This window comes from Homo sapiens, chromosome 1 (assembly GCF_000001405.40).
Source record: "Homo sapiens chromosome 1, GRCh38.p14 Primary Assembly".
Taxonomy (NCBI): Eukaryota; Metazoa; Chordata; class Mammalia; order Primates; family Hominidae; genus Homo; species Homo sapiens.
Genome location: NC_000001.11, coordinates 10,688,059 through 10,710,025, shown reverse-complemented (window position 1 = coordinate 10,710,025; position 21,967 = coordinate 10,688,059). Strand labels below are relative to the sequence as shown.

Here is a 21,967-nt window from a genome sequence, read left to right as displayed (position 1 = left end):
GCCCAATTCCAACCAAGACTGTGCCTGGAAAGAGCCCAGAGCCAATCCGGAGGCCTGCTCCGACTCCGGGGTCTGGACAGCCACCCCCACCGCCCCTCCCTGGTCCGGGGCCCAGGCTCCTTTCCCGAGGCCTCTGTCTCGATCGGGCACCTGCTGGCCTGTGCGGGCCGCCGGCCCCCTCATTGTCCTGCTAACTGCTGTGTAAAAGTTCCGGGCTTCCTCTGACCTTTCCGTTTTGCCTGGTTATGCCATGGGATCCCCCTGGTGCGCATCCCCCTGCGGCACTGCCCGGGGCACTGCTCAGCCCCTGCCTGGGGCCTTTCTCTCCCCAGCCGTCCTCCGGGCAGCACTTTGATTCGCTTTCTTTTCTCCTCTCTTTCTCTCTCTCCCTCTCTCTCTCTCCCCCTCTCCCGCTCTCTCTTTCTTTTTCACTCTTTTAACATGCTTTTCCTAAAAAGTTTTTTAATCAATCAAATTTGAGGCAGAAAATAGGTTTTGTCACGCCTGGTCCCGGGGTAGTGAGACTCTCACTCGGGCTCCTGACAGCTCCTCAATACAGGAAGGAGGCCAAACAGAATATTTCTCCGGGAAAGTGCCCGTTTCCATGACGCTGCCCCTGTTGTCTATGCCGCCCCCCTCCTCACACTGCCGGGCTGACATGGCCCCAGCCCCTGTGAAAGGGCTGGCCAGGGAGAGGCTGTGCGTGAGGATGGGGCTGGGGGCAGGGGGAAGGAGACGCAGTGGAGTGCGGGGGCGGATGGGCAGCCCGACAGCTGCCCCGAGCCCCCATGGCCCCGGGAGGCCTGGGGAGCAGGTAGGAGTGCTGGCCGAGGAGCCTGGCCTGGTGCTTCATAAATATGGAGCTGGGCAGCTGTGGGTGAGAGGCTCCAAAGCCAAGTCCTGGACCAGCAGCGGCTCCAGCAAGAGGGAACTGCAGATGGAGGAGGCCCCTTCAGGTCCTGGTACGCTGGTCCCTGCCACTTCTCCGCCTGTCACTCTCCCCCGTCCCATCTCTCGTGGCACTCCCTCCCTCCCTCACCCATGGCCCCCCCCCTCCCCGTCCTCCATCCCTTGCTTCCTTCCTGCCCTCCCCCGACCCTGGCACCTCTTGTGCCGGAGGAGCCTCTGGTCCTCCCAGCGCCCAGCCCACCAGGCCCCACTCCGAGCCGCCTGCAGGCCCCCAGGTCTTCCCTCTCCAGCCCACCTTCCCTCTTCCTCTTCCCCTCTGTCTTTCACTCTCTCCTCTCCTCCTCTTCTCACTCTCTTTTATAATTAATGATTAGTTTTAATTGGTTTGCTTAGGCAGCCTGACAGCAAATTAACAGAAGCCAGCCCAGGGCTGCCGGGCTCAGGGAGAGACCACTGTGCTTCAGAACCGGCCAGGAGAAGGGCTGGATGAGGCTGCCTCCAGGCTCACTCTCACAGCAGGCCCCAGGGATGAGATGGAGGGAGTGCCGGGCCTCACCTGGGCAGGTGCAGCAGCCGATAGGAAGAAGGCACCAGGCTCTTTGCACACATAAGGGCTCACGTTTGCCAACTTTTCTCTGTACTTTTGTTTTTCTTTTCCTCCTCCTCACATCCCTTCTGTGCTCTTCTTCTTACCCAAGACATTGCTGGTGTCTTCAGAGATTAAGGGTGGGTAAAAGGTGGGTAGGGCCACTGCCCTTAGTTTAGGGCAGGGTTTGCTTTTGGTATCACTCATCCTTACTTGTGCAATGGGATGGTGGGATGGGCAGCCTGATGCCTCTGGGGCCAAGATCCTGCTTTTTCACATGGACAGGAGGAAGGAGGTCAGAAGGCTGTTGTCACTTTTAGCTCAGCTACCAACCAACCATCAGCCCCATAGCCTGGAAGCTCCAGGACCCAGTTCTGTTTCTGATTTGCCATCTACCTCTGGACAGAACTCTGAACCTTTGGGTCCTCAGTTTTTTGGCCAGAGTACTTAAGATTAGGAACATTGGATGGATGGATGGACAGATGGACAGACGGCTGGCAGAGAATGGGTGTGTTGGCATTTCTTAGGCACTTTCTGCCATGATCTCTGAGCACATGGCTTTTCTTTCTTAGCCTGGAAGAGTTCACTTCACTTCAGCCCCGCTGAGTGTAGGGCCCCTGCTGTCCTCTGGGTCTTCCCAGTACTGTGCCTCTCCCCCGGCCTTGGAGAATCCTTCCTTAACTACGTCAGCTACCAGGTCCCAGATGTGCTGGCCACTCACTCATATGGGCCACTCACAAAGCAGACAGTGGGGACAGTGAGAGGCAGAGAGACAAGAAAAGATGCCCAGAGAAGGAAGAAGAGACCAAGATGAACTCTCAGCTACTTCTTAGGCCCCCACTGGGGTCCCAGTATCCCAGGGTCCCAGATCCCACCCAGGGACAGCTTCCCTGCTCCCATCAGCCAGGACACCTGCCCTGGGCAGGTGGGGTACAGGACCCCGTGCATGTCCTGGTCCCTGTACGTACACATCTCTGGCCCTCCCCTCCCTCCTCCACCCCCGACCAACTCCTGGAAAGTTTCCTCCCTGATTGTTCTGTGTGATCAGATCTGCAAGTTGCTCTCTAAGCTTCTTGTCACATTTTGACTTAATGAAGTGCAACTGCTGAGGGATTTGGGTTCAGCGCTCCGGTCTCCCGCGCTCCCTTGTTGTCAGAAAACAGGGGTGGTTGGGGACGGCAACACCGCGCTGCAAGTCGTTATCATTCCGGTCAGTCTGTTTAACACAAAATTAAACAAAGAACTAATTAGTGCCTCATGAATTAATAAATGCACAGTTGCCAGGGAGGATGGGAGGGGAGAGAAAGGTGGTGGAAGGGAGATACCAGAGTTGTGGAGTTGGGGGGCTTTGGGGGTCCACAGGAGGCTGGCCAGGGCACCTTGAGAGATCTCAGACAGGAGTGTGTGGGACGGACGGGACAGTGAAGATGACACCCCAGCCAGGGCCCTGGGCTGACCGGCCAGGACTCGAGCTCTGATGGCTGAGCCCACCTGGTGCCTTGCAGTGGAGGCCTGGGGGTCTCCATCCCCGGACCCTGTGACCCTCCCTGCCGGCCTCCTCCTCCATCCTCTCCTCTCCTGGCCAGCTCCTTCTCTTTTCCTTATTCCCCCTTTACACAGCCCCCCATCCTCTCTACCGCCCCCTGTCTCAGGGGTCCGCCCAGCTCTCTGCAGACCCCCCCGCCTCTCATCATCTGGATGAGATGGGCATCAGAGGCCCGTGGGGCAGCACTTCCTAACCACCAACCCACCGGGCTCTCAGCCCTCCCAGAGCCCTGTATCTGGCAGGGCAGGCTCCGCCCCAGTGGGCACCCTCTGCCCGGGCAGCCCAACACAAGCGGCGAAAGCTGGTGGAGAGCCGAGCCCTCCTTAAGAGGACGTGTCAAGTACAATTAGCATTATCTGTCTAAATATGTCCTGGGAACCGGAGAGCGGGCGGTGGGACTGGGTGGCATTCCGGGAGCCCTCAACAAGGTCACCTCATCTCCCACAATCCCCCCAATCTGATTTGGGGATTACATAGCCTAAGGAAATTGGTGTTATTCCTCTTGCATCATTGATAAGCCACAAATGAGGGAGGGGGAGAAGAAAACGTAACAGACAGCCCTCCCCAAGCCTGGATAGGGTTCTGAGGCCTGCAGGGGCAGGGCCTGGCTTGAGCAAGGGTTGGGGGGCCTGGCCAGCAGGCTGGCGGGGGGACTCCCTGTGTTTTCTCTCCACGTACACACAGGCTGCCCCTTTGAACCTGGCTCCCCAAACTCATTATCTGGGCAGGAGGGCCCCAGCCTGGCACGCTGGGCCAGGCCGCGTGTTGGTTAAAGCCTCCACGTTGTCTGACCATCGTCCCTCTCCCTGCACGGTCTCTGGACATGGGCTGTGATGACTCATGGGTAGGACCCCGGGGTGGAAGGTGCTGTCGGCAGCCTGATCCTGGGGCATGGAGGCTTCCTGATGCCTTGGCCCCTGGCCCGCCCTTGCCCCTCTGTCACCAACTTGCTAGAGCGAACAGTTTGGCATTTGTCATTTTTATGTTCAGGGGCCCCGGGGAAGAGAGTAAAGGAGCAGTTGCTGCTGTATTCTGTCATTGTCCCCAGGCATCCCTGCTAGGCCGCTGCAGCTCCACGGGAGCGTGCAGGCCACTTCACCAGCACCCCCACTCCCGGCCTCCTCCACGGAGCAGTGTGCACGGCACGGCTGACTCTTCTCCGCCTGGCTAGGGAGGTCCTGAGGACCACATTGCCCCTGCAGTCAGTTCCTACCACTTTCTGACGTTTTTGCAAACTGTGGCTGGCATATGCCTGAATGAGCCAAATCAGAGCCCACCCGGCATGCCTGAGTTTCTGGCCCTCTTGGCTGGCCCTGGAGCATCAGCCCCTCAGCCCATGTGGGGCAGGGAGCGCCTGGGTACTCAGGAGGGATGGAGGGCGTGCACTGGGGAGTCATGGGCTTGGAAAAGCTAACAGGGCTCCTCTCTCTGCCTCTCCAGGATGAAGTGACACCCCCAGCTACATCCGAGGAGGTTCTAGGACCTGCTACGAGGTAAGGCCTGAGCCCCTCCCTGAGCCTCGCGTCCTCTCCCCGACTGGTGACCACTCACCTAATGCACGTGTCACCCTGGGCTGGCTTCAGTCCTGCTGAGCACCCAGGGGGAGATGAGAAGGTGGAGATGGGGAACTGCAGCCACCCCACCCATTCCGCCCTGATGGGAAAAGATGCCCTCCCGCCAGTAGGATCCCCTCGGTTTGGCTTTTAGGCTGGAAATGGTCTGGGGACATATGGATTGCAGACTTTGGGGAAGGAACGTGCTCAGGGCAGTGTGGGGCAGTGGGGCACCTGTGGTGGCTGGGCTCAGGTTACCCAGCCTGCGGTGCCCGCTCTCACAGTGCTATTGCCTCCGTGGCGGTGGCCGGCTGTGCCTGGACGTGCTGCCCAAGCTCTGCCTCAAGAACCGCATGGACTCGAAGGCCCCAGAACCCCAGTCCTGCCTTCGCTCCTCGGAGGCTGTGCCACCCCTAGTGGCTTCCTCCATCCTCCCTAAGAGGCTGGCAGGGAGAAGGCCACGGCCGAGGCCAGGACAGGCTGCCATGTCCTGCCTTTCCTCAGGCACGGGGCTCCCCTGAAGTCCAAGCATACGGGGCTGCCCCAGCCTGGCCCAGCCTTCACGGGCTGTGTCAGTCCCCGGGGTGGTGGCGCGAGAAACCGCGGGGCCACCGGGCCTCGGGCCCCAGGCAGTGCTGTGTCAGAGGTGACCGGTGGAACGCCAGTGTTATGTAAATAGCGGGGCCTGCCCGGCGGGCGAGCTGGCTGGCTGCAGCCATCCATCATCCCCGCTTGGCGGGGCGGGGGACAGACACGGCACCGTGCGCCTGGCTCCAAACCTGTTTGTTTTCCCTTTGTCTCTCGCGTTTCGGGCCCCGGCTGCGACCGACCGGCTCTGGGTTTTGTCCTACCGGCCCCCTTCCCCCCAGGAGGACGGAGAAGGGAGGAGATTCCCCGGCTCCCACCGCGGCATCCCTTTCGGACTTCAAAGGCTCCCCCAGCATTGTCTGCGCTGGCGGGCAGTGGCCCTGAAAACGTGATCAGAGGCGGCCCGGTGTAGGGCAGGCCCGGCCCGCGCCCTGCACTCTCGCTGGGGCCGGTGGATTCCTCCCTTTGCCGCCAGCACCACCCTGGTTACAGCTCCATCCCGGGTCCTCTCGGCCTTTCTCTCCCTGGTGCCCCTTCTTGCTCCCTTCTGGCCACTCCCGTCCTCCTCTTAACCATGGCCTCACCCCTGTCTCATGGAGTTGAGAATTCTAGAATCTTCAGAGCTGCGAGCCTCCATGCCTTCACATGGTCCATGAGGATCTGAGTGCCGTGGAAGGCTCCTCAGGATGCCCCAAGCTGGGACCAGTTCCTGGATATTGGCTTCCCACGCCGTGCCTTGTTCTCTGTCCCTTCCTTTGCTCTACCCTCTGATCACGAGAACCTTGCTTCCTCTAGAAACCTCCGCCCATGAGGTCCTGACAGGGTAGATAACTCCGTCCCCAGGCAGCAGGGTGAAGCCAGCCATTCCGTGTCCTGAAATTCAGCCCCAAGTGCTTCCATTCTCTGGAGCAGGGCTTGGCAGAGCCCTTTGACCCACAGTCTGCTTTTATAAATAAAGTTTTATTGGAACACAGCCATGCCTATTTATTCAGGTATTAGCTATGGCTGCTTTCACTCTATACTTGCAGAGAGAGTTGAATGGCTACAACGGAGACTGTTTGGCTCACAAAGCCTAAAAGGTTAATGATTTTCTCTCTGGCCCTTTAGGGAAAAAGTTTTCCGGCCCCCGCTCGAGAGGTTTTAGCTCCTGCACTTTAGGGGGCCTCGGAGTCTGACCCTATGGAGAAGGGTGGGCTCCTGATTCCAGGGAGCACCTTGAAAAAAAAAGCCCCACAGGTCGTGGACTGGCAGCCCTGGGTCTTCTATTTCTGTGTCAGGGCCCTGGGAAGCAGCATAACCTCTGAGCGCCAGTTTCTCTATTTGTAAACTGCTGTCTGCTTCCCAGGCTTGTGGCAAGGAGGAGCTGGGGTGCCTGGGAGAAGCTGTGAAGGTTGAGTTATCGGGAGCTGCTGAGGGGCAAGCAGGCTGAGGGGGTAGTCCAGGTCTGAGACTGGGCCTATAGGTGGTGGGTGGGAACCAGGCTGCAGTCTGGCTGAGAAGGCCCTGGAGGTTACACAGTGGGTGCTGGCTCTGTCTAGGACCAGGGACCAAGGCCGCCCTGGCCCGGTTCTACTGCTGTGGGCCAAGGTGGGAATCAGGCTCCAAGCCCGAGAGGAAAGGCTGGAAGGGAGTGGGCAAGGAGACGGGAGCTGCGGCCGCGGCCAGAGGTCTGCTGCAGAGTCTGCTGGGCCTCCTCTCGTGCTAGGTCTGCTGCCGTCTCTCTTGCTGTCCTCTTTTTGAGGGCTCCTGGCCTTTTGTCCATCTCTCTTTCCCCTCCAGGCCTCCTCTCTGCATCCCTCTATTTCCTCTTCCTCCTTGCCTTCCCACCACCCATAGCACCCCCACAACTCCATGGCGCTCTCTCTCTCTCTCTCTCTCTCTGCCTCTCCCTCTCTCTCCTTTTCATCTACTCGGAAGGCTTTACTTTACTTCCTTGTCACCCTAATTGATTGCATTAACCTTTCAGCGTATTGGATTTCCCCGGCATCGTGCAGAGAGCCCTGTGCAATATGCTTATAATCTAACCCATAATGGACAGTTTGCAGTCAACAAGCCCCTTCTCCCATCGGCCCCATTGACATCTCTCTTGCCCAGGCCACCGTGGCCACTTCCCCCGCTGGCAGGGGTGGGGCAGTGGAATGGGGCTGGGAGGAGGCAGACACAAACCTGGACCCACCGATGGGGTTCTTGGCCTCCCTCTCCTCCCAGCACTGCCTCCAGCCCCGCGTCTCCCTCTCCAAGCTCCCTGGCCCGGGTCATTGCCAGGCCTCTGGTCTTCGTGATTCCTCTTGGCTTGGCCTTCTGCCCTTGGGACTCTCTAACAAGTGACTGATGGGGCTGGCTTGGATTTTGTGGGTGAGTTCCCTGTTCCACCCAGATGCTTCTCAGAGCAAATCTTTCCTCCTTCACTAGCCCAGGAGGCTTTGGGGAACGATGATGGTGGCCACTTCAGGAGGCAGGTGGTGGATGAGAGGAGGGGTCTGAGATCTCTGACCTTCACTGGCCTCTGAGCCAGTGGGAGGCCTCTGTGGACCTTCTGGAAGCTGGGCGCGCTCCTTGAAAGGGTGCAGGTGCATAGGGAAGACAGAAAGCAGGGGATCTGCTGAAGCCAAGGCAAGAGGGTGATGAAGACCCCGCCAGGGCTGGCCTGCGGGGAGCAAGGCAGCAGCAGCTCCTCCCAGCAGGCAAGGAAGCGGACATGTGTCACCTAGGTTGGGACCTGTACCCACACTCATCTCAGGATTGTGTGATTCGAGTGCTTGGTAGGGGACGTCTCGGAGTCTCTATTTCCCATCTAATGTTTGGCAGTAGCTCTGAGTGGATCCACCTGCTGTCCGCAAAGGAAGACAGACGCCGCCCAGGCAGCGGGGCCGGAAGCCCAAGAGAAGCCTCAGTAGGCAGGATGGCTCAGCCCAACGGGGGATGGGCCGGGGGAGGTGGAGAAACTGAGGCCTGGCTTGTCAGGCTGGCAGGAATGGGCTCCCTCAGGTCGGCTCCTGGACGAGCACCTGTTAGTTCAGCAGGAGGCAGGAAAGCCAGCCCCCCGTCAGCTGCCTGGTCCTAGGGGCTCAGCCCCAGGCCTGAGCCCTGGCCCCAGTCCGTCCCGGCCAAGGCTGCCAGCCCTCAAACCAGCAGCCTGATCGGCCGAGTCTTCATTCACGACAAGATGGGATGTCAGGTTGAATACATTAGTGTCAGGCTGGAGGAGCAGGACAGAAGCTCCCCTTAGCCCTGGTGGTACTTCCTCTCTCCCGCACTGTTCTCCCTCCAGCCCTTTGCCCGTTATCTCCTTCTTCTGACCGCGCCCCCCCTCCTCCCATCACTCCATCACTCTGAAGGGCGAGCTTTGGCGAGAGGGGGCTGGACCTAAGTCCTTCCCATCCTCTCCCAAGGATTTTGGGGGTGGGCAGAGGGCACAGCAGGGAGAAGCCAGGCAGCGAATTAAAGTTTGTGATTGTCAGCATCAGGAGAAGCTAAATAACCCTGTAACTAGTATGAAGGTGAATTCACGGTCTGCTGCACATGGAGAATATGAGTGTCTGCGAGACAGGGAGAGTGCGCACGGGAACCCGGCTGCCACGGTGGGCAGCCTCCTCTCCAGGGACCCGGGCAGGAGGCAGGAGGAGGGCCACGTACCCGCTTCCCTGCCAGGGAGCAGCTGCCCAGGAGCCCCACCAGACACCTGGGGCAGCTCAGCTCCTTGACAACCTGCTGGCCCTGGCATCAGGGGCCCAAGTAGATATTTGTAAGCACCAATGGTATACACCCATGGACACCAGCCCAGGCCTTGGACTGATCCATATTAACAGCTAATCCTTATTGAGCACTGACTGTGTGCGGGCTGAGTGCTGTGTGACAACAACTCTATTCAGGAAGTGCTAATATGATCCCCCGTCTTTCCCCCACTTTTTAATAACCGCTTTATTGAGATATCATTCATATACCATAAAATTCACCTTTTTAAAATGTACAATTCAGTGGTTTTTAGGATATTCACAAGGTTGTACCATCATCACCACTATCTAATTTTAGAACATTTTCATTCCCCCAGGAAGAAACCCTGTACTCATTAGCAGTCCCTCTCTGTCCCCCACTATCAGCAGACCTAGGGTTCCACTAACGATGATTTCCTGAAGATGCTGGGAAGGTAGAGGGTCAGTGCCTGGGTTCAGGGAGCAGAGCCTGTAGAAGATGGAGCTGCGGTGTGAACCCAGGTACTGAGACTCCAGAGCTGGTGCTCCATGAGGGATTGCTTGATGTCCTGGCTAACCCCCACCCCACCCCTGACACACATGTGCCTATCATGTGTGTCTGACAGTTCAGGCTCAGGCGTGTACATACACCATCCAAACACCTAGACTCAGGCAGCAGCACACGTGTCTTCTCCCCAAGTACGCTGGCAGCTCCACATAGAAAACCTCACACCTCCCATAAGGACAGCGGGCCTCCCCTCCTGGGACCCCTCCCTTGGCTTCTCCCCAGCCCTGCTCCTAGAAGGGAGGCTTGGAGCAGGAACCAGCAGCAACAGGGTAACTGAAGTAGCCAGAGAAACCTAAGTGGTTTCAGAGCTTAAAATGAGAAATCCCATATCTTCTGCAGCTGATCATTGTAACTGAGACAAAATGCCAACCCAACATTCCAGAACAGGTCCCCGCCCGGGCTGGGGCCACAGGCTGGGCCAGGCCCACAGGGCAACCCAACTAGCCCAGGTCCCTGCTTCATACTCTGTGTGTGTGTGTGTGTGTGTGTGTGTGTGTGTGTGTCTCTATCTCTCTTTCTCTCTCTGTCTCTCTTTCTCTCTCTCTCTGTCTCTCTCTCTCTTTCTCTGTCTCTGTTTCTCTCTCTCTCTCTGCCTGTCTCTCTTTCTCTCTCTCTGTCTCTGCTTCTCTTCTGTTTCTTCTCACCTTTTTCTTCCCACCTACCTCTCTCTTCTCTCACACTCCACGTTTCCACCCCAAAACTTTTTTTTAAAGTTTTTGTGGCCACACTCTTGAACTCACAAAAACTGGGAAATTAATGTGAAACCGTCGCTGCTTCTGATAAGAGAAACCTACAAGGGTGAGACAAAGGGGAAGGGAGACACAAGAGAATCAGTCTGTTGGATTTTGGTTTGGGGTTTTTTCCTCCTTCTCTCTCCCTCCAAAGTGGAGGATCCGGCCGGGCCAGTTTGGATATTTATTAAGAAAAAGCCAAAGATAATTAACTTTTTTGTTTTTGTTTTGTTTGCGGGTGCCTCCCCTGCTGGCACTCCTGGCTGCCTGGCAAATTAAACCTGCTCCCGGCTCCCTGGGTGCTGGGCTGCCAGCAAGACTTCTGCCGACTGTCCTGGATCTGCCAGGGCTGCCAGCTGCCCACCCAACAACCTACCTTGGCTTTCAGACCTTGGGTCACTTTATGCCCCCACCGATGCCACATCCCCAGGCTCTACTGACTCTGAGAGCACCTTTTAGAGCAGGGTAAGTGGGATGTGGGGGTTGGGGGAAGAGGAGGGGCTACTGTTTGGGGTTGTGGCCAGCACTTCCCTAAAAGGAAATGGGGGGAAAGTGTGATCCTCTCCCAGGGCACAAGGGCGTTCCTCCTGGCCAGTTCAGGGCCGTTGACTTCCCAGGAGAGGGGAAGGAGAACGGAGGATGAGCTGGAAGTGCAGGGAGAGGCCAGATTTGGGCCATGTCGATCCCCAGCTCTTCTCCCCGAAGGCTGGTACCCTGCCAGGCCTCATGGGCCCCTGAGAACGCCCTGGAGCAAGCAGCCTCTGGGCCATGGAGCCATGTGTGATACCTGTCCACCCCCAACCCCAGGCTCCATCTTGCTCCCACCCCCAACCCAGGCCAGGCCATGGGTGGGGGAGCGGTGGGGGAGCTGAGTGGCTGGAGAGCCAGTGCTTGGGTAAGAGCTGGCTGCCTCCGGTCCGGTCCGCTGTGCTGGAGCCACACAGAGCCCTGAGGCCAAGCTGTGACCTAAGCCTGAGCCCAATTCATGGGCCAAGAAGGTGACACTGGGAGTTAGAGGCTTCCTGGTATGAGACAGAGCTGAGGACTTCTCAGGAGCCAGGAGAGCCCACGAGAGGAAGGCCAGTTTGGAGGAGCTCGCTGGGGTTGGAGGTGCGGCTTGCCCCTCTGTTAAGCCAGTCCCCCTCAGCCCTCCCCTGCCAGGGACCCTCCTTGGCCCCTTGGCTTCATCCCCAGCTGGACAAGTAGGCAGTGATGGTGGGCCTCTTCCAGGTGGGGAGCCTGCTTCGGAGCCGGCCACAGAGAAGAGGGCATTTTTCAAGGATTTTGCTGGCCTTTCTTTTTCTCTGAAATATAAGGATGTGCAATTTTTTTGGTTTCAATTTAGCATTGGAGAATTTTATAATTTAGTAATTAAAATCTCTGATAGGCTTTAGAAATTGCGGCTAATTGAATTTAATGGGAAGATGATTTTCAATTTTATTTGATTACCGGGACCCCTGGCATCGGTATTTATGGGAAAAAAATGGGAAATGTGCTGTGTGGGCTAAGATGGCATAATTGAATTAGGGATAATCGGATTTCTCCGTCATGAATTTCACTATAATTTTCCTATAATTTTCCATTAGATATCTAGTTTACAAATATTCACAAAGAAATGAAGCTCTTTCGGAATGGAGATTGCTGGCTAACAGGATTACGGGGCCGAGCGTGCGGCTGTGCCAGCCCCTCTCCTGCCATAATGCAATCCCTGCGTCTGCCTTACACTCGGCGCGGCCCTCGCTCCGCCACCCACTCTGTGGCTCCTTTCTCCCCTTTGTTTCCTTCTCATCCTGTTGACCCCCTGCCCCAACACCCACCTGTCTGTGGCCCACGACCTCCCGTGCCCGTGGCCATGCCGTGGTGCCTTGGCTCTGCCCTCCCTCGGCCCCCATGCTTCCCGTCCACTTCGCTGGCTCACAGCTTTCCCGACACCCTCCCTCCATCGGCCCCGGAGCGGGCTCACACGCAAACACACGGACTCCCTCGCAGGTGCGAACATGCTTGTTCGCAGGCACACGCAGTCCTTTGGCCAAGGCTTCTGTGCCCTGGCCCAGTCGCCTCAGATGGAACCAGTTTATTGGGATCCTGGGGTGGGGTGCAATAACAAAAGGAGCTTTGTTCAAGTTTATGTGAAAGTTACAAATTCAAAATGAGAGCAGATAAAGCATGAGATACCTGGTGTGTAAACAGGCTGGTGAGTGAGAAGGCCCCAGGCTCGGGAGGGAGAGAGTGTAGGTGGGCAACTTGGGGGTGCGGGGGGGGTAACAGGAACCAGCGATAGCAGTGTGACAGGAAGGGCAGATGGCTTTCCTTGGTGCTGATGTGGGGAGCCTGGGTTGGGGGGAACCGCTGGGTTGCCTTCCACTTCTTTTTCTCTTGTGAGTGGGTTGTCTCAGGAGGAGCTAGAGGCTCTGGGCCCAGGGACTCAAGATCAGAAGAGATTATGGCATTGGACTTCCATCCCTTGAGTCCCGGGCATGAAGGTCCTCACTGTGGCCTGGCTTTGGGGTCTCAGGTGTCCTCAAGGCAAAGATGGGCCATAGCCTCAAAAGATGCCTCTCCTCTTGGTATGAGCAGATACACTCAGAGAGAAAGAGAGAGAAGGGGGGGGCGCATAATCTGGGGGCCCCTCCATGACACAGCCTCTGACTCATACCCCACAACCTCGAAGCCTCCGCCGCCTTCTCTGACCTTCATAAATCCTTGCGCTCCGAGTTGGCCTGTTTCTTGCTTCTCTGACCGCTGCTCCTCCACTGAAGGCCTTTTCCTCTTGGGCAGGGCCCACTCAGCCTGTGGCTACCTGGCCAGGGACTTGACAGAGTGGAGGCTTTCCAGGCATCCCCACACCTCCCTCCATTGCTGGCTGCCATCCCCCAAGCTCTCTCGAGTCCTGTCCCTTCCGCCATTCCTCTGTAGCCTTTGTCTGCCTGAGACCCCCCGAGTTACTGGGTGGCCAATCCAGGTGGTCCTGCCTGGGCAGCTGGAGGGAAGATGCTTTCCTTTTCCCCTCCACACCTTCCTCATGGGTCAGGCTCTGACCACTATCAGCTGAAGCCCAGGAAGACATTCAGAGCCAGCCAGTGGCTGTGTGGGTCACGTATGCAAGCAGCTCCCCATCTTTGCAGACATCTTCAAATGCACCCAGAAATCACCTCTTCTATCCCTTGCCTCCAGGCTTCCTCCTACACACAGTTGCCCAGATAGGAGAGCAGAGGCTCAGAATTGGGGTGGGGATTGATCACCTGCTGTCACCAGCCAGAGCTGCAAGCCTTTTGTTACGATGCCTTGCTTTGGGGAGTCATTGGGAGCAGCACCCAGAGGCATGTGTATACCCCACAGCGGTCCTGGACACAGATGCCCTCTCTGAGATCCCATGTCGGGAGCAGAGGCACACAGTCCTCTGTGCTGGGTGCCCGGTACGGGCAGTCATACTCCCAGGCTTAGACTTGGGGTAGTTCTGTTCCCTTATTCAGGGTTTTGGGGCCAGGGGCAGCTCAGTAAGGTTTCTAGGCCTCTCCAGCTGCTGTTCCTATGTAGGGATGGGTTGGGGAATCACAGAGCCAATGAGGCTGTGTGACGGCCAGGAGTGGGGACTGCCAGGAAGGCAGTGGGAAGGGCAGTGGAGTAGGGGAGGGATGCCCAACTCCCTGAGAGGCCATTTAGAACTATAGAGCAAGCAGGAAAAAAGGAGAAAAATGAGGGGAAAGTAGGAGAAAGAGTAGATTGTTAACTCCCTGATGTCTTTGCCCCAAGGCCTCCCTGGCCCCTCCCTTTGCAAAATAGAAATATTGCAAAAATAGGCCAGCGCCATGTTGCTGGATGCTGTCCAAAGACCAGGGAAGCCTGGGCCCTGCTCCCCTCCCCTCATCTGAAGGCAGTGTGGCCCCTCCTGAAAGAGGAGCGCTGGGAGAGGCGAGGAGGGCAGCAGGGTAGGTGAAGAAGGGACGGAGAACCAGGTCCTTCCTTAGCAAGGCTGCCCAAGGCCCTGCTCACCCCACCGTCTCTTTCCTTGAGGCCCTCTGGGCCGGATGCGTCACTTAAGTCACCAACATATAAGGACTCTCAAAATATATGGCTGCAGCAGGGACATCTGGGGATGTCCCATGGTGCACGGTTCATGGAGGGGAGAACCCTCAAACTGCCTTCTCTGGCAGAAAAGAAAGAGGAGCACGGGCAGCACAAAGCGCCTGGCTGGCCATGGGCTGGCAGGAAATGAGGTTCCACGTTGAAGGGGACAGGCCTGGAGACGGCGTGGGGCGGGGGGGGGGGGGGTGGCGGGGAGGGGAGGAGGAGCCGGGATGGGCCTCAGACTCCCTGGTTGAGGGTGCCTGTGCTCTACTGAGCGCCCTTCCTAGGGCAGCGGCCAGAGGGGCAAGGCAGGGAGGAAGCGCAAGTGATGGCCGGGATCATGGGTCGGGGGCTGTGGGGAAAGTGGGGCGCCGATCTCCATTCGTCTGGCTGCGGGGCGGATGGCCCAACTTTGAGGGAGGAGTGGGCAGAAAGACCGGAAGACCGGGGAGGCTCTGGGAGGACACTTGGACCCGTTTTAAGGGCAAAACCAAAGCAACGCCGAGGAAACCCCACTGCGTGTCCCAGGCCGGCGCTCCTGGGGCCCAGGGCCGGGGACGCGCGGGGTGCGGGGGCGCGCGGGCCTGACTGCGCCCTGCCCCGCCTCGCCCCGCGCTCCTGTTCCTCCAGCTCCAGAAGCCGCCAGTGCTGTGAGGGGAACACGAAATCCCTGTGCTACCCCAGGAGCCCCGAGCCCGCAGGCAGCGGGCAGGGGAGCAGGGAAGCGCGCGGCCTGGCGGGCGCGGCCCCGCGGCGCCTCACACCTGCGCCCGCCCTCGCGGAAAAGTTAGCGCGGCCGCGCGGGTCGTGGGGCAGGCGCGCGCGGCGGCCGTCGGTCGCGCTCGCGGGGCCCGAGCGGCCGCTGGCAGCATGCGAGCGCGCGCGCGGCCGCCGGCGGCCGGCAAGAGTGGGCGCGTGCCCGCGGGCGCCTTACTCGGGCCGCGTTCCCCGCCCCGCGCCGGGTCCCCTCCCGCCAGCCCTGAGCGCAAGTCCCCGCCTCCTCCTCCCGGAGCCAGAGGTTTGGGGAATCGCAGAGCCAATGGAGCCGGCCGCCCTGCCAGTGCGGCGCGGGCGCGCGCGGCGGGGGCGCGCGGCGGGGGCGCGAGCGAGCGCGAGCCCATTCACTCCGGCACCGGGCGGCGGGCGGCGGGCGGGCGCACCGGGCGGCGGCGGCGGCGGCGGCGGCGGCGGCGGCGGCGGGGCCGCGCTCTGCTCTTTCACCTGCCGGGGCCGGCGCGGGCCGGGCCGAGGAGGCGGCGCCGCGGCCGCCCTGCCAATCACCGCGGCGCCTGGCAGCGCCCCCGGCCGCGCCCGCCCGCCCGCTCCCTCCTGCCAAACTGTTACCCTGAGTGTTACCGGCAGGAGCAATGACATCAGGGCTTTAAAACAACTTGTTATTCGGGGAGTAATCAGTTGCAATTAGGCATTAATTAAGTATTATGAAAGTTGATTATTTAAGTGAATTCGGCTTTCGACTCTCCGACTATGGTGAGTACCGGGCGCGGGCGGGGGAGGCCCGGGGGCCGCGGTCTCGGGCGGCGACCCGGGCGCGGGGCGCGGTCGGCGGGACGGGGGCGCCCCTGGGCCTCGCGGATCCCCCGGCCAGGGCCCCCAAGCCGGGGCCGCGCCGGCCGAGAGTTGCTGCCTTAGTTGGAGAAACTCAGGCGGCGCGGACCCGCGGGCGCGTGCGGGGCCGAGCGTGAGAAGCGGGCGGCGCGGAGGAGAAAGTTTCTCCGCCGCGGCCTCGGCGCCCGCCCGGGACGGGCCGCTCCTGCGGGGCGGGGGACAAGCAGGGCGGGCGGCCGGGGTCCCGCGAGACGCTAACCCCGTGTTTCTTCTCTCCCGGTCTTCCCCTGGTGGCGTTCTGCGAAGAGTTTGGGACCAAGGAGAAGAGAATGGATCTTGGAACAGGTACCGGCCGGTGGGAACGCAGGGGCGGCTCTTTCACTTTTCTTTCGCTTCTTTTACGGAAGTTCTTATTTTTAGCCCAATGAGGTGGCGGCGGGGCCGGGTGGGGGCCGGGAGGGTCGGGCGGCTGCCTCCCGGCGTCCCGGCCTCGGGATCGGCGACTTCTGAGGCTGTTGTTGTTGTTATTTGCCACTTGCTTAGAGGCTGTGACTAATGTGATGCTTGTCATTATGAAAGAACCGAGAGGAGCAGGAGCTGGGGGGCACCCAGAGAGAGGATTTAGGGGGTTTTTGTGGGGTTTTTGTTCTCCGTGTTTTTTGTATGGCTTCGTGTTTTTTTTCTGTGTGTGTGCCTTTTTTTTTTTTTTTTTTTTTTTTTTGTTCTCTGCAAAGATCTTTGTGTGTCTGGCTCTGGGGTGTGTGTTTTTATTTTTTTAGTGGGGGGTGGTTTAGTTTTTGAAAGCAGCGTCCTGTTGGGAAAGGTGGTTAGTCTGGTTTCGGGGCGACTGTCTCAAGGTAAAGGAATTTAATTTATTTGGGACAAGGCTGTGTCGGATGATCAAGCTGCTTATTATGGCTAATGAGTATTTTTCACCTGAGAATCTGTGGGATGAGGTGGCTGTTATCAGTTCAAAGTGAGGGGCCCCGGACTGTCTCCCACCTGCCTCTTTAGCCCCCACCCTAGGGGTGGTGATGGACCAGACAGACTACTCAACGTAGGCATCTGGGTTTGGGGGCCTCCTGTGGGACAAGGCCGGGGGCTCCAGGAGGCCTGGTGCTCACCTGGGGCAGTTTATCCTGATATTTTGGTGTTTTCTTGGGTTTAATCTAATTCTTTCCAGTGTTTTTGCCTTCAGCTCTTGCGGGCTTCCCATGGGCCCTGGCTATTGAAACCAAATTTTGACCAGGACCCTCACGTGCTAGGTTGACAAAAGCAGCTGTCTTCTTAAATGTTTTAAAAGAAACAAGCAGCCCGATCATTCATTGAGACTGATCTCTGAACTCTCCTGGTTCATTGATGGGATAGGTGATACTGGTGGCTGTTAGCGTTGTTGTTTATAATAGGCCCAAGTTCACAGCATCGGCCCTTGGGACCCATGAGCTGATATCTGACCTTCTAAAGGTCAGTGGGCAGAGAGACCGGAGGCAGCCCTGAGGGGATGAGGATGGGTGGCACGGTGGCCGGTGAAGAAGGGCCTGTGTTTGTTGGGGGGAGGTGTCATTTGCAGAGTTTGAGGACTGTGTGACACCAGGTGTGATCTTGGCTGGTCTGACGTGGAGGGCCTGGGGACCTCTGCGCCCGGGAAGGGTGTGACACCCCCTGCTGGGCAAAGTGGTAAAGGTGTCTAAGGCCAAGGCTGCCACCCTGCCCCTCCCTGCCCTCCACTCCCACAGAGAACCTGCCTGCCCCCACCTCCAGTCGGTGTCTCATCACCTCCCTCTCAGGCCCCACCCCCTTTCTTCGGAAATGGGGCCCCCACCCATCCCAGCCAAGAAGCAGACCTCAGAGATGGGCCTGGTGGCAATGCACCACCCCTTACCTGGGGCAGGAGAGCCTCTGCTTGTGGGCCAGCACACAGGACCCAGGCATTGCAGAGCTGGAAGGCAGGCCCTCTGGTCGGCCTCCTCCTAACCTGGGTGCCAGCTGGAGCCAGCGTCCATCCTCCTGCCATCCACCAACCAGTCCCTCCAAGTCTGTCGTGGGGACAGTACTCCAAAGCCCTTCTCTAGGGTGTCCTGACTGGAGCGAGGGCCTCCCAGCCCTGGTAGGAGGCAGGTGGCAGAGCCTCTTGTGGCTTCTCTCCTGGGCCTTAGGGAGACTGACTTCTCCCAGCACTCCAGGGACAGGCTCTGGAAACTTTTCCTAGAAGCTAGAAGGGACCCTGAGGTCAGCTGCTTCCTCCTGTAGCTGGAGTAGAGCACTCCCAGTGGGACTCAGGCCTGGACTCTGGCCACTCAGAGGGGAGGCCCAGGGTGGCAGAGTTCTGACTGTTTCCTGGAGGAGTCATCTGGTGATACCATCTCAGTCTCTTCTTTGAACTTGGAAGTTTCACTTATAATCTCAGAACTTCAGAAGAAAAGCAGTCTTCCCCCCACTTCACCAAAAAAGGGAAGCAGATGAGGACGCTGAGATCCCCTCTGAGCTGGTCCCTGGGCTGACTCCATGCTCATCTTCAGGAGCTGGGAACAGCTCCCTCAACTTCATAGTGCACACGGCATACAGCTGGGGCCATGGGCCTCGTCTCTGGCCGGGGCTCGTGGCTGGTGAAGTGAGGGTCCCTTCCTCTGGGGCAGCGTGGGCAGCTTCAGCCGAGGGCCTCTCTGACATAGTCCAAGGCCAGGGGCGCAGGCCTCGAAGGGCTGCTGGCATCATGGACCCACCATGCCTCCCTGATCGTAGGTTAACATCCCCGCGGCCCCGGACACATCTAGGTCCTGAAGGCCTTCAGCCATGAGGAAGTCAGTGGTGGGAGAGCCAAGCCTTCTCAGGAGGGGACAGAAGGACCTCAGGACCCTCAGGGGCCATGTGGACCCCCTTTCCCCCACCATAGTTCAGCCAAGGGCTGGATCAATCTGGACGTCTTTAGCAATAAAAAATGCCGATGTCGTCCTAATTCACCAGGCCCCGAGATGACAGCAAATTTACATTTTTTAATTAAACTAGCAGCCAGTTTTTATGAGAGGGGGTTGGGTTATGCAAATCAAATGGTTGTGTACGGAAGATTAGGAGAGTTTGGGAATAAATTCCACAAATGCTAATAAAAAAAAAAGGAAAGAGAGGGAGGGAGGGAGGGAGGGGAGAGAGGAAGAGAGGAGGACATAGTTCCATTAGGCCCTTTTAGAGTGATTTCCCTGGGGGAGGGAGCGGGAAGGGGGGAGGGGAGATGGGAGGAAGCTTTCAGACACAGGTACATCCATCCTGCAGTTGGGAAGCTCCCAGGGTTAGGTCCCACCAGGCTGATTCCCAGGCCCTGAACACAGCTAGAAGCCAGGGTGAAAATGGCGGTGAAGCACGGGTGGAGCTCTGAGCAGGCGTTCGCCCTTGACTCGTGGGGATCTGATGATAGTTGCCCCTTCTCTTCTTGAGACAAAGGGGTGGGGCTGTCCAAGGCGCGGAGGAGCCAAGATAGGCTCTACAAGGTCAAGGGCCAAAGAGGCAAGAGGGCAACTTTAAAGGGATGGCCACGGACTGCAGGGGGTGCCGGTGAGGGACAGTGCTGCCCATGTGTCGCTGTGGCTGCAGCCTTGTCGTCGAGGCGGGTCAATGGGAGGAAGCCCGGCCGGTTTCTTTCTCCTTCTGGGGCTCCAGGCCAGGACCCCCTTGCATTGCCAGCAGATCCCCCATCGCAGACAGCCCAGGCCTCAACTGTGGGGAGGCCAGGAAGCGTGGGATCAGAAGCTGGGCCAGGCTGGCTCATTTTCCTGATTCTCAGTAGCCCCATGCTTTGAGAGCATACTGTCTTGAGGTAGGCCGCAGACTTCTTCTAGACGGTGTCTAAGCTGAGAGAGCAAAGAGCTTGGCATCCCCAACCCAGCCCCAGTGTGTGCTGCTCAGGCCCCTGCCCTGAGTGTCAACCACCTTCAGATCAGACCTTCCATGAGCTGCCAGGTCAAGGCCAGAGCCTTGCCAAGTGTGGAGGCTTCTAGGAACCTCACTAGCTCTGGTTACACCTTCGACCTGCCAGGCACCGGGGACTGAGAAGGTTCCTGTGCTGTACTGGAGGAAGAGATTCCACGCCGGGTTTAGGGCAGAGCAGATTGCTCTCAATTTCCTTCCTCCAGCCTTTACTTGGCCAGATACACCCACTCAACCAGTCTAAGCTGGGGCCAGCCCCTGTAGCCAGGTTGGGCACCGGTTTTGCCAGTCTGCTGCAGGGGGTAGGTGCTCTGGGGCCATCTTGGCAGAAAGGAGCTGTCAGAGCCCGGGACAGAATGGGCCATCTCGGAAGTCATGAGTTTCCTGGTACCATTCAAACAGAGGTTTGTGCTGTGCACCGGTTAGTGACATTTAGAGGGACTTGAGCATCAGATGACCTTTAAGATCTTCAGCTGTCTGACTCCCAACTTGATTTTGTTCAGTGGGGCAGTCCTGGCGGGTGGGAGTAGGGGGTGAGTGGACGAGGTGAGGAGCACATTATTTGGACCTTTTCTTTGGTGGAGAGCATTGGAGACAGGCAGCTCTGGGCTGTGAAGTGACCCTTTGAACCAGCCCTGGTTCTAGTTGCAAGACGTCAGAGGAAACTGAGGCTAAAAGGCCTAGCATAGCCTTTCCTCCCCAACAAGAGGCAGAGGCAGAAGGGCAGGTCCGAAAGGCTCCCTAGAGAGACCCCACCCCTGGCCCTTTTTCCCTGGTAGGGACCAGCGAGGAGAACCCATTCACTCTCCTCTCCAAGAAAGGCACTGAATGTGAGTGTTACTCAGACCTCTCTACTGGCCTTGTCGGTACTACTGGTGTTCCCCCAGCCCCCACAGCCCCAGAATCTGGCTGAGCTGCAGCTTGGGTTTTTATGATGGAAAAATAAAATAAATGCAGGCACCTTTGGAGGGCTAAGCCACGCAGCGGCATCTCCTCGTGAAAGTGGCTGCCCTGGCTCAAGGCCGTGCCCGCTGCCTGAGCAGGGGATTGGGTGGGGCTTGGAAAGGCTCTTGGCCCCAACTCCTCTTCTTCCTGGGTCCTGCCAGGTCAGTGGTGCAGCCCCAGCCTCCATCAGCCTCCTCTAGAACGGCTGGCCCAACACTTTTCCAGGGCTCAGCCATTTCTCCACCTGGCCCACCCCCCATGCCCCCAGGCCCCAAGGCTCACCTTCTAACACGGCCTTCCCTGAGCTGATTTTTACACCCTGACCACCCTGGCCGCTGCTCCCACCTCTTCCTCCTTTTCCTCCTTCTCCTCCTCATCTTCAGAGGGGGAAGGAAGTTGCACTGTAGTAATTACCGCCCGTGGGTCCCCACGGCAAGCAGCAGCTGTTCTGGGGTAGCTGGGCCAGGGTACAATGAGTAGGGAGAAGCTGGGAGCAGGAGGAGGGCGGGCAGCCCCAGTGTGCAAAAGAGGAGGGGCAGCCTCGCCGGGACCACCTGTGCAGGGCAGCAGCTTGGTGGTCTAGCGCACACCCCTCTGGCTGCCTGGCCACAGAACAGCACCCTGACACCCTCGACTCAGCAGGATGTAAGACACCCATGTGGGAGGCGAGGCCTGAAACCCAGGAGGCATGGGAGGCTCTCCTGCAGCAAGAGGGACGGAAATGAGGACTGCCCGGGCCCCTGTGTTGGCAGCGTCTGCCTAGTGGAGGGAGAGGAGCGGTCTGCTGTCCCACCAGGCCGAGGAGCCAGGAGCCAGGGACCATGCAGCTTTGTGAAAGAGTGGCCTTAAGGGACCTCCCTCCGCCACCATGCTTTCTAGACTCCTAGCCAGCCCCTTCTCTCTGCGCCTTGTCCTCCCCCTCCCTCCAAGAGCAGAACTCTTGCTTCCCATTTTGCAACCACGTTTTTCTGTCTTTTTCATCCAGGCCACCCAGCTCCCTAAAGCCGGGCCCTCCCTGCTACCTTTCTTGCCCCATGCAACCTTTCCAGCCTCACACCCCGTTGGCCCTGGAAAAAGATAGAGAAGCTGCTGGCTGCGAGCCTGCTGTTCTGGGGCTCCGGGTAGACCTGTGACGTTGCTGTGCCAGGACCCAGCACTCGGACTCATGTGCCCTGATCCCCAGGAGGCCAGGGCCCTTGTTTTCCTCTGCCACGGCTGCTCCTAATGGTGACCATTAGATGGTAGCTGGTGTACTGCCACCTCCTCCCCGGGCCTGGTACGGGCCGGGGCTCACGCC

General features: G+C 58.6%; 1 protein-coding gene across 6 annotated transcripts in view, besides 8 other annotated features; it reads left to right on the top strand.

Moving 5' to 3' along the window:
* CASZ1 (castor zinc finger 1) overlaps nt 1-21,967 on the top strand; it is a 160,043-nt gene that overhangs the window by 86,621 nt on the left and 51,455 nt on the right. For 4 of the 6 annotated variants that reach the window (NM_001079843.3, XM_017001540.3, XM_047423404.1 and 1 more), the window contains 2 exons: nt 4,482-4,534; nt 16,114-16,152. In NM_001079843.3, the coding sequence (NP_001073312.1) occupies nt 16,137-16,152 (16 nt within the window). In that variant the 5' untranslated portion in view covers nt 4,482-4,534; nt 16,114-16,136. Of the gene's footprint in view, nt 1-4,481; nt 4,535-15,575; nt 15,730-16,113; nt 16,153-21,967 lie in introns of those variants that run through there. The other 2 variants (XM_005263479.4, XM_017001539.3) reach the window with 1 other exon arrangement.
* Nucleotides 3,528-4,449: an enhancer, noted in NCBI's record as "H3K4me1 hESC enhancer chr1:10765634-10766555 (GRCh37/hg19 assembly coordinates)". NCBI's record gives its function as "activates a minimal SCP1, AML or CMV promoter by ChIP-STARR-seq in naive H9 embryonic stem cells {active_cell/tissue: H9 hESC(naive)}" and the evidence as "EXISTENCE:reporter gene assay evidence [ECO:0000049][PMID:30033119]".
* Nucleotides 4,450-5,372: an enhancer, noted in NCBI's record as "H3K27ac-H3K4me1 hESC enhancer chr1:10764711-10765633 (GRCh37/hg19 assembly coordinates)". NCBI's record gives its function as "activates a minimal SCP1, AML or CMV promoter by ChIP-STARR-seq in naive H9 embryonic stem cells {active_cell/tissue: H9 hESC(naive)}" and the evidence as "EXISTENCE:reporter gene assay evidence [ECO:0000049][PMID:30033119]".
* Nucleotides 5,373-6,294: an enhancer, noted in NCBI's record as "H3K27ac-H3K4me1 hESC enhancer chr1:10763789-10764710 (GRCh37/hg19 assembly coordinates)". NCBI's record gives its function as "activates a minimal SCP1, AML or CMV promoter by ChIP-STARR-seq in naive H9 embryonic stem cells {active_cell/tissue: H9 hESC(naive)}" and the evidence as "EXISTENCE:reporter gene assay evidence [ECO:0000049][PMID:30033119]".
* Nucleotides 8,103-8,603: an enhancer, noted in NCBI's record as "H3K4me1 hESC enhancer chr1:10761480-10761980 (GRCh37/hg19 assembly coordinates)". NCBI's record gives its function as "activates a minimal SCP1, AML or CMV promoter by ChIP-STARR-seq in naive H9 embryonic stem cells {active_cell/tissue: H9 hESC(naive)}" and the evidence as "EXISTENCE:reporter gene assay evidence [ECO:0000049][PMID:30033119]".
* Nucleotides 15,048-15,107: a silencer, noted in NCBI's record as "silent region_252". NCBI's record gives its function as "represses an Ori minimal core promoter by ATAC-STARR-seq in GM12878 lymphoblastoid cells {active_cell/tissue: GM12878}" and the evidence as "EXISTENCE:reporter gene assay evidence [ECO:0000049][PMID:35858748]".
* Nucleotides 15,118-15,317: a silencer, noted in NCBI's record as "silent region_251". NCBI's record gives its function as "represses an Ori minimal core promoter by ATAC-STARR-seq in GM12878 lymphoblastoid cells {active_cell/tissue: GM12878}" and the evidence as "EXISTENCE:reporter gene assay evidence [ECO:0000049][PMID:35858748]".
* Nucleotides 15,428-15,597: a silencer, noted in NCBI's record as "silent region_250". NCBI's record gives its function as "represses an Ori minimal core promoter by ATAC-STARR-seq in GM12878 lymphoblastoid cells {active_cell/tissue: GM12878}" and the evidence as "EXISTENCE:reporter gene assay evidence [ECO:0000049][PMID:35858748]".
* Nucleotides 15,898-15,987: a silencer, noted in NCBI's record as "silent region_249". NCBI's record gives its function as "represses an Ori minimal core promoter by ATAC-STARR-seq in GM12878 lymphoblastoid cells {active_cell/tissue: GM12878}" and the evidence as "EXISTENCE:reporter gene assay evidence [ECO:0000049][PMID:35858748]".